We start from the raw sequence: 11202 nt of genomic DNA on the forward strand, positions 1-11202 counted from the left end.
ACATCCTGATAATGATTTTCAAACCTAATACATTTCTACAATTGTGGAATGAATGCCTCTGTGAAACAGAGAGATGAGCTTGAAAGAAAAGATGAAATTTGCATGTTTCTTTGCAACCAGGGTTTTCTTTCTTTTTTTTTTTTTTTTTTGGAGCTCCAACTTTGTCTTTAATCATCAAAAGTTGCCCCTTGACAAAAGGATGGTATAGGAAAAAGCAGTGATGTATGGTGGGTTTTAGCTGATCACCATTGACAAAGACCCTCTTCATGACCAAACTTTATTCAGGCTTCTCTGAGCCCACTTCTCAATTAGGCCTCAACTTTGGCCTATAAGAACTGCAAATTTCAGCACAGTTTCATCCACCTGACCCCCAGACACACACACACAGACACACACACACACACACACACACACACACACACAAAGAGACTTGAACAAACCCTAGCATAGTTTTTATTCGCTCAAGGCCATTTCCCTAGTATGACAATTGACAATTCCAGCCCTCTTAAAATGCCTTCCTGAGACAGTTCAATGCTGCCAAAAGGCCATTTCCCTAGGATGACAATCCCAGCTCCCCTTAAAATGCCTTCCTGAGACAGTTCACTGCTGCCAAATGAATTTACTGTTTGTTCAGGCCAAAACCTGACTATAAGCCCTGAGTCCCTTTCCTTACAGCATGTACTTTAGAAAACTTGCAATTGTAAATTTTTTCTCTCTTCTTTTAAGATGTACCTTCCACGACCCAGGACTGTCTTTCTCAACAACTTGGAAGCCATCCCTTTGTAATGTAATGATCAAGAAAAATAGGGCCCATGCCTACCTGTCTCCATGGGAAGGTAGGAGCTTAACATTCTTTTCTTTTCTTTGATTTTACTTTCTTTATTTCATTTCTTTTTTATAGTTCTTAATTTTTTTTATTATACTTTAAGTTCTGAGATACATGTGCAGAACGTGCAGGTTATTACATAGGTATACATGTGCCATGGTGGTTTGCTGCACTCATCAACCCGTCATCTACATTAGGTATTTCTCCTAATGCTATCCCTCCCCTTGCCCCCTACCCCCTGACAGGCCCCAGTGTGTAATATTCCCCTCCCTGTGTCCATGTGTTCTTACTGTTTGACTCCTACTTATGAGTGAGAACATGTGGGTTTGGTTTTCTGTTCTTCTGTTAGTTTCCTGAGAATGATGGTTTCCAGCTTCATCCATGTCCTTGGAAAGGACATGAACTCATTCTTTTTTATGGCTGCATAGTATTCCATGGTGTATATGTGCCACATTTTCTTTATCCAGTCTATCATTATTGGGCATTTGGGTTGGTTCCAAGTCTTTGCTATTGTGAATAGTGCTGCAATAAGCATATGTGTGCATTTGTCTTTACAGTAGAATAATTTACATACCCAGTAATGGGATTGCTGGGTCAAATGGTATTTCTGGTTCTAGATCCTTGAGGAATCACCACACTGTCTTCCACAATGGTTGAACTAATTTACACTCCTACCAACAGTGTAAAAGCATTTCTATTTCTCCACATCCTCTCCAGCATCTGTTGTTTCCTGACTTTTTAATGATCGCGATTCTAACTGGTGTGAGATGGTATATCATTGCAGTTTTGATTTGCGTTTCTCTAATGACCAGTGACGATGAGCTTTGTTTCATATGTTTATTGGCCACATAAATGTCTTCTTTTGAAAAGTGTCTGTTCATATCCTTCACCCACTTTTAGATGGGGTTGTTTTATTCTTGTAAATTTGTTTAAGTTCCTTGTAGATTCTGGATATTAGCTCTTTGTCAGATGGATAGATTGCAAAAATTTTCTCCCATTCTGAAGGTTGCCTGTTTACTCTGATGATAGTTTGTTTTGCTGTGCAGAATCTCTTTAGTTTAATTAGATTCCATTTGTCTATTTTGGCTTTTGTTGCCATTGCTTTTAGTGTTTTAGTCATGAAGTCTTTGCCCTTGCCTATGCTCTGAATGGTATTGCCTAGGTTTTCTTCTAGGGTTTTTATGGTTTTAGGTCTTACAGTCTTTAAATCTTTAATCCATCTTGAGTTAATTTTGTATAAGGTGTAAGGAAGGAGCCCAGTTTCAGTTTTCTGCATATGGCTAGCCAGTTTTCCCAACACCATTTATTAAATAAGGAATCCTTTCCTCATTGCTTGTTTTTGTCAAATTTGTCAAAGATAAGATGGTTGTAGATGTGTGGTGTTATTTCTGAGAACTCTGTTCTGTTCCATTGGCCTATATATCTGTTTTGGTAGGAGTACCATGCTGTTTTGGTTACTGTAGCTTTGTAGTATAGTTTGAAGTCAGGTAGCACGATGCCTCGAGCTTTGTTTCTTTTTGCTTAGGATTGTCTTCGCTATGTGGGCTCTTTTTGGGTTCCATATGAAATTTAAAGTGTTTTTTTCTAATTCTGTGAAGAAAGTCAATGGTAGCTTCATGGGGATAGCATGAATCTATAAACTACTTTGGGCAGTATGGCCATTTTCATGATATTGATTCTTCCTATCCATGACTATGGAATGTTTTTCCATTTGTTTGTAACCTCTTTTATTTCCTTGAGCGGTGGTTTGTAGTTCTGCTTGAAGAGGTCCTTCACATCCCTTATAAGTTGTATTCCTAGGTATTTTATTCTCTTTGTAACAATTGTGAATGGGAGTTCACTCATGATTTGGCTCTCTGTATAGGAATGCTTGTGATTTTTGCACACTGATTTTTTTATTTTTATTTTTTTGAGACGGAGTCTCGCTGTCGCCCAGGCTGGAGTGCAGTGGTGCGATCTCGGCTCACTGCAGGCTCCGCCCCCCGGGTTCACGCCATTCTCCTGTCTCAGCCTCCCAAGTAGCCAGGACTACAGGTGCCCACCACCACGCCTGGCTAATTTTTTATATTTTTAGTAAAGACGGGGTTTCACCATGTTAGCCAGGATGGTCTCGATCTCCTGACCTCGTGATCTGCCTGCCTTGGCCTCCCAAAGTGCTGGGATTACAGGCATGAGCCACCGCACCTGGCCGATTTTTTGCACATTAATTTTTTATCCTGAGACTTTGCTAAAGTTGCTTATCAGCTTAAGGAGATTTTGGGCTGAGACAATAGGGTTTTCTAAATATCCAATTATGTCATCTGCAAACAGAGACAATTTGACTTCCTCTCTTCCTATTTGAATGCCCTTTATTTCTTTCTCTTGCCTGATTGCTGTGGCCAGAACTTCCAATATTATGTTGAATAGGACTGGTGAGAGAGGGCATCCTTCTCTTGTGCCAGTTTTCAAAGGGAATGCTTCCAGCTTTTGCTCATTCAATATGATATCAGCTGTGGGTCTGTCATAAATTGCTCTTATTATTTTGAGATATATTCCATTAATACCTAGTTTATTGAGAGTTTTTAGCATGAAGGGGTGTTGAATTTTATCAAAGGCCTTCTCTTCATGTATTAAAGTAATCATGTGGTTTTTGTCATTGGTTCCGTTTATGTGATGGATTATGTTTATTGATTTGCATATGTTAAACCAGCCTTGTACCCCAGGGATGTAGCCAACTTGATCGTGGTGAATAAGCTTTTTAGTGTGCTGCTGGATTTGGTTTGCCAGTATTTTATTGAGAATTTTTGCATCGATATTCATCAGGGATATTGGCCTAACATTTTCTTTATTTGTTGTGTCTCTGCCAGGTTTTGGTATCAGGATGATACTGGCCTCATAAAATGAGTTAGGGAGGAGTCCCTCTTTTTCTACTGTTTGGAATAGTTTCAGAGGGAATGGTACCAGCTCCTCTTTGTACCTCTGATAGAATTCAGCTGTGAATCCGTCTGGTCCTGGGTTTTTTTTGTTTTTTTGTTTTTTTTTTGGTTGAGGCTATCAATTACTGCCTCAATTTCAGAACTTGTTACTGGTCTATTCAGGGATTTGACTTCTTCCTGGTTTAGTCTTGGAAGGGTGTGTGTTTCTTCTAGATTTTCTAGTTTATTTCCCTAGAGGTTTTTATAGCATTCTCTGACAGTAGTTTGTATTTCTGTGGGATCAGTGGTGATATCCCCTTTATCATTTTTTATTGTATCTATTTGATTCTTCTCTCTTTTCTTCATTAGTCTGGCTAGCGGTCTATTTATTTTGTTAATCTTTTCAAAAAAAAAAAAAACAACTCCTGGATTGATTGATTTTTTGAAGGGTTTTTTTCTGTCCCTATCTCCTTCAGTTCTGCTCTGATCTTAGTTATTTCTTGCCTTCTGCTAGCTTTTGAATTTGTTTGCTCTTGCTTCTCTAGTTATTTTAATTGTGATGTTAGCGTGTCAATTTTAGATCTTTCCTGCTTTCTCCTGTGAGTATTTAGTGCTATAAATTTCCCTCTAAACACTCCTTTAGCTGTGTCTCAGAGATTCTGGTATGTTGTGTCTTTGTTCTCATTGGTTTCAAAGAACTTATTTATTTCTGCCTTAATTTTGTTATTTACTCAGTAGTCATTCAGGAGCAGGTTGTTCAGTTTCCATGCAGTTGTGCAGTTTTCAGTGAGTTTCTTAGTCCTGAGTTCTAATTTGATTGCACTGTGGTCTGAGAGACTGTTTGTTATTATTTCCATTCTTTTGTATTTGCTGAGGAGTGTTTTACTTCCAATTATGTTATCCGTTTTAGAATAACTGTGATGTGGTGCTGAGAAGAATGTATATTCTGTTGATTTGGGGTGGGGAGTTCTGTAGATGTCTATTATGTCTGCTTGGTCCAGAGCTGAGTTCAAGTCCTGAATATGCTTGTTAATTTTCTGTGTTGTTGATCTATCTAATACTGACAGTGGGGTGTTAAAGTCTCCCACTATTATTGTGTGGGAGTCTAAGTCTCTTTGTAGGTCTCTAAGAACTTGTTTTATGAATCTGGGTCCCCCAGTATTGGATATATATATTTAAGATAGTTAGCTCTTCTTGTTGCATTGATCCCTTTACCATTATGTAATGCCCTTCTTTGTCTTTTTTTGCTCTTTGTTGGTTTAAAGTCTGTTGTATCAGAGACTAGGATGGCAACCCCTGAATTTTTTTTTTTTTTTTTTTTTTTTTGCTTTCCATTTGCTTGGTAAATCTTCCTCCATCCCTTTATTTTGAGCCTATGTGTGTCTTTGCATGTGAGATGGGTCTCCTGAATACAGCACACTGATGGGTCTTGACTCTTTATCCAATTTGCCATTCTGTGTCTTTTAACTGGGGCATTTAGCCCATTTACATTTAAGGTTAATATTGTTATGTTTAAATTTGATCCTGTCGTTATGATGCTAGCTGGTTGTTTTGCCTGTTAGTTAATTCAGTTTCTTCATAGTATTGATGTTCTTTACAATTTGGTTTGTTTTTGCAGTGGCTGGTACTGGTTGTTCCTTTTCATGTTTAGTGCTTCCTTCAGGAGCTCTTGTAAGGCAGGCCTGGTGGTGACAAAATCCCCAGCATTTTCTTGTCTGTAAAAGATTTTATTTCTTCTTCACTTATGAAGCTTAGTTTGGCTGGATGTGAAATTCTGGGTTGAAAATTCTTTTAAGAATGTTGAATATTGGCCCCCCACTCTCTTCTGGCTTGTAGGGTTTCTGCCGAGAGATCAGCTGTTAGTCTGATGGGCTTCCTTTGTGGGTAACTGGACCTTTCTCTCTGGCTGCCCTTAACATTTTTTCTTTCATTTCAACCTTGGTGAATCTGACAATTATGTGTCTTAGGTTGATCTTCTCAAGTAGTATCTTTGCGGTGTTCTCTGTATTTCCTGAATTTGAATGTTGGCCTGTCTTGCTAGGTTGGGGAAGTTCTCCTGGATAATATCCTGAAGTATGTTTTCCAACTTGGTTCCATTCTCCCCAGCACTTACAGGTACACCAATCAAACGTAGGTTTGGTCATTTCACATAGTCCCATATTTCTTGGAGGCTTTGTTTGTTCCTTTTCTTTCTTTTTTCTCTAATCATGTCTTCACATTTTATTTCAGTAAGTTGATCTTCAATCTCTGATAGCCTTTCTTCTGCTCAATCAATTTGGCTGTTGATACTTGTGTATGCTTCACGAAGTTCTTGTACTGTGTTTTTCAGCTCCATCAGGTCATTTATGTTCTTCTCTAAACTGGTTATTATAGTTAGCAGTTCCTGTAACCTTTTATCAAGGTTCTTCACTTCCTTGCCTTGCATTAAAACGTGCTCCTTTAGCTCAGAGGTGTTTGTTACTACCCACCTTCTGAAGCCTACTTCTGTCAATTCGTCATCTCCTTCTCCATCCAGTTTTGTTCCCTTGCTAGTGAGGAGTTGTGATCCTTTGGAGGAGAAGAGGCATTCTGGCAACCAGGATTTTCTAGGCTATTGCTTGATTCAGAAGAATATCCTCCCGGTTTTTCTGTGTTTGAAGTACAACATGTACTCAAGCAGCTAATGGATCTGTTTCTGACCATAATGCCATCTTTGGAATGCAAACCTTGCAGAGTATGCATCAGACTGACCTTTGCTTCCCTGCTACTCTTGATCTTGCTTCATACTGATATGTTCTTCCAGAAAGAGCAAAGGCATGAGGGCTAAACGATCCAGCAGAGATTAAATGAGAACATTTCTTAAATTCTGTTTTTCTTTAGGTAACTAACTGAAGCCTCTCTAAGGCTGCAGAATCATTCACTCACATATTAATATCACATGCATATATATCACTTTGAACTTCTCTAGGCATATCTAGGGGATAAAAGAGTAAGCAAGACAAAGCCTACAACTTCATGGAACCTACACTGTAGGGGAGATAGACAATAAAGAAACCAAAATTGTCTGTATACCTGTCATGCAGTCTTGTGTCGTCATGAGTATTGTGGAAAAAAAAGCCTGGGTAAAGGGATCAAGATGAAGGGACTGTGCACACCCACAGTAGGTTCATTTGAGAAGGTAATCTAGAATAAAGACCTATATGAATCAGAGAAGTGGTCCTTACAGAGGAAATAACATGTCCAAAAGTCCTAATGGAAATGGAAAATTAGTATTTTTGAGAAACACGAAGAGCCAGTGTGATAGAGCCTAAAGCGAGAGTAGTAGGAAATGAAATCTTGTGAACAGAAAGAGGCCAGATCTAATGGATTCTGAAAAGCCATAGTAAGAAGCTGTGTTTTTGTTCTGAGTGAGCTGCTGCAGGATTTTGAATAGAAAAATGACTTACATAATCTGGTTTACATTTTACTCAGCTAACTCTGTAACTCTCAACTTGGAGGAAAAGTCTTGTGGGTACCATCAGAAGCAGAGAATGTCTTTCTCTAAAATGTAAAGAAGAAATGGTTAGGAAAAGGGAATCAAGAGCTCTAATTTGAACATGTTAAATTTGAACATCCTCTTTAGACACCAAGTGGATATGTTGAGGAGAGAGTTTGGCATAAAAATCTGGAGTCCAGATGAAAAGAAAGGGCGGGAGCTATAAATTCCAGAACCACCAAAAAATAGATGATATTTAAAGCTATGGTACTGAACGAACTTCCCTAGGAAGAAAACATAGAAAAAGAAGAGAAAGCACCCCAAAATCTTTAGATCAGGGAGAAGAGGAGCCAGCAAAAAAAGAATGGAAAGGCACAATTGCTGTAGGAATAAAACAAGGGGCCAATAGAATTACCCAAGCCAGTAAAACAAATATGCTTCCAGAGGGTGGAAACGTACAACAGGGTTCAGTGCTACTGATACTTCAAGGAAGATTAAGACCGAGAAATGTCCACAAGATTTGGCAAAAGGAGAATCATTGGTAACTTTGATAAGAAGGATTTCAGTGGTGTGTTGAGGATGAAAGCCATAGTAGAATGGGCCAAGGAATGACTATTAAATCATTCTTTCAAGGAAATCCCACCTGAAAGGGGATGTGACATCAGGTCTGGAGTAAAGGATTTTGTCAAGGAAGATTTTAGAATGTCTTTGGATGTTGGTAGAAATGATTGGATAGGGAAGGAGAAAATAATGTCAGAGAAAGAGAACATAATTGCAGGAGCAAAGTCCTTGAGCAGGCAAGAAGGATGGGATCCAGCATATAAATGCGGAATTGGGCTTCAAAAGAAACAGGGTTTTTCATGCATTATAACAAAAGAAAAGGCCAAGTATATGGATACAGGCACAGGTGGACTCATAGTGGTAGGAAATAACAGAAATTATCTTGTGTTTGTCTTTATTCTCTCAGTGAAATGAAACAAGACCATCAATTAAATGTGAAGGGAAAGGGTGTCAGATGCTGGAGGAGCAAGAGAAGATGTGAAGCAGTGTCCCAGAGGGTGCTGGACTGAGCTGACCAGGGAACACTAACAGCTGTCCGGGCAGGGCAAACTGCCCACTTGAGATTTATGGTCAGAAGCTAGATGATCCTCTGACTATCATTGTTTCAGCAATGTTAATGGATGGAAAATTTGGATATAATCTTTATATTCTAAGAAGGCTTTTTAAGTTTATTTTAAACTGAGGGGGATAAAAATAGAATAGAAATCATGTTATCATAGGCAACTATGCACGAATGGAAGGATGCTTAAAACCAAACTTTGTAACCTAACTTTAAAATAATAATAATGATCTTTATTCTCATTTCCCTCTATACATAAATTTGCCCCATATAAGATTAGAGGGCCATTTTCTTTGATTTAAAGAGTACTGTACCATCAAGGGATATACTTCTAATCTCTGCCACTAGAAAACTGTAAGATCCTAAGCAATTATTTAATCTCACTGCAGCAGAGATAGTAGGTTAGCACCTCAATGTCTTGTTTGCCTTTCTCTTAGAAAGAACTCTCAACTCCTTAGCTGAGCAGATGGCTCCAAGAATCAAGACTACATTTCCCAACTTCTTTTGCAGCTAGGTGCGCCCATGGAACTAAATTTGGACCAATGAGACATAAAGAAAAATGGTATGAGACAGCTTCTAGAAAACTTCCTTTAAGAACGTGACAGGTTCTCCTTATCTACCCTTTAATATCTTCCTCCACACAGTGGCTAGAGTTCTAGTCATCATCCTGGACCGTCCTAAAAATGGCAAAACAGTTAGCTAGATAGAGTATGAGTCACTAACAGTTTTTTAGAAGCCACATCAACCCTGGAATACAAACCTCCACCCTTCAATAATGTGAGAGAGAATGCTATCTCTATCAAGCCAACTGAACTGAATCATGATTGATATGCTTAGTCTCAAGTCTTAGTTTTCCCTTCCTTAAACTAAAGCTATCGTCAAGTTTTCTGTGCAAATGTAAAATTATCATTTACAATGCCATTTCTGTTTCAGAGATCAAAGTGGAATCTAGCTTCAATTGTATGTTTAATGCCCTCCTGAAATCTATTTAGTGTTGCCAAGGAAGGTGATACCCAGAGTTTTAAGTCCTCTCTTCACGTGTACATCTCCACAGAGTTAATGATCATAATGTTTGATCTCTGAGGTTCAGCAACACAGTTCTGACTCTAGACTTGGTTTGACATTTAGCGCAAACAGGCATTGTGGGGTATTTTCTATGAGCTACTGGAACACCCTCCGCCGAACAGTTCCACTAGTTTGACTCGCGTATTGTCCTATGTAAAAAACAAAAATGGAAAATAATACCTCTTGTGAAAATTTACTACCAAATCATCCTTTCTTTAGCCATTCTGAATAAAATGATCAGTATCTGCCATAAAGTTTATTAACTAAGGAAGGATGCCTTTATTTTTAGTTCTAAAATGCTATCACAAAAAGTACAAAAGGAAACATGCCAGATGAAAACAATTATTCAAAACAAGTTTGGTAAAACCTATGATCTTTAGGAAATAAAATATTGAACTTACATTATTTTGATAATTTGTAAGTAACGGTGTAAAAATGTTTTCCACATTGCTGAACTAGAACCCTTTCCCTATCATTTATTAAAAGTCTCCCTGGATTTTCAGGCAATTTAGAGAAATGTAACTTGCAGGAGAAAAAACTTATAAAATATAGTGTTTTAACAAAATTTCTCTTTTTGCACACTACACAAATAATACTGAGCCAACAGAAACTTTCGTAAAAGCCAGCATGGAAGTCTGTCTCTGTATTTTTTTTTAATCTCTCTCTGGATTTAATGCCCTCATGAAGCTTGAATGGAATATATGCATGTCACAGCATGGCAGAGGGATAATATATTTCCCCCTGCTTCACTGAGCATGAGTTGTGTATCTTGCCATCTTGAGAGTCCACAGTGCAGCACGTTTATCCCTATTAGAAAAGCTCAGTCTAATAATATATGGATGCTGCAGCCATTTATGACAAATATGTAAAATCATAACCTTATATATTCTGGAGATGGATGCATATACATTGAATCTATTAACTATGCACTGACAGATTTTTGTTAAAACTAGGTTTTCAACCTCAAAGACTAAAAGGGCAAATAAATTGATTATATTTGTATATTTATGTAGCCTCAAACTTTAATTTCAAGGCAGAAAAAAAGAGCAGTGCCACTGTTGCCACTTCGGCCATACTTGGATTCACTTTGCCCACCCTGAGCACACAGCTATTCAGATCAAGGCATATGTTTATAAATACTGTTTGATTAATTTTGATAAGACATTCAGCTTTTTATCATCTCATTTTAGAAATGAAGGTCACAGCAATGAAAGAGTATATTTGTAAAAGTGACCAAAAAATAAGCAAATATTTACGGTTCAAATCCCAACATTTTCTAATTATATAACCTTGGGCAAATTTACTTAACCCAAGTCTAGTCTCAATTTGCTCACCTGTAAAACGGGGATGATAATCATACCTAACTAATAGGATTGTATGTAAAGTGTTTAGCATGTCATTGGGACTCAATAAATGTTGGCTATTTTCATCATGACTATTCCCTCAGAACCGTCGCCAGTATATCAGTGGGAAAAAGTGAGCATAATCTGTGAAAGAGAGTAGGTAGGAGAGCAATCATTAACTGTGCTCTCCAGTTACTCTTATCTGCTCCCAAGGGGTATAATGTGATGCTGTCTCTAAACACACCTGAGAAAGACACAAGATCCTGAGAACAGCACAAAGGCCTGATAATCCCTACAGAAGTCTTGTTTTAACCAGACTTAAACCGTACACTCCAAAATTTAGGTCTGCATCTACATCTAATTAGTACACAGAAAAACAAACAACCTTACAACCAAGAGAAAAATGGCCAGGGGTCACTTGAAGAGAGCAATAGGATTAGATTTTTTTTTCCCCTCTATAACCATAGGTTATAGAATTTGCATCTTTCCCATCTCAGATT

This window comes from Homo sapiens, chromosome 4, assembly GCF_000001405.40.
Source record: "Homo sapiens chromosome 4, GRCh38.p14 Primary Assembly".
NCBI classification, from domain to species: domain Eukaryota; kingdom Metazoa; phylum Chordata; class Mammalia; order Primates; family Hominidae; genus Homo; species Homo sapiens.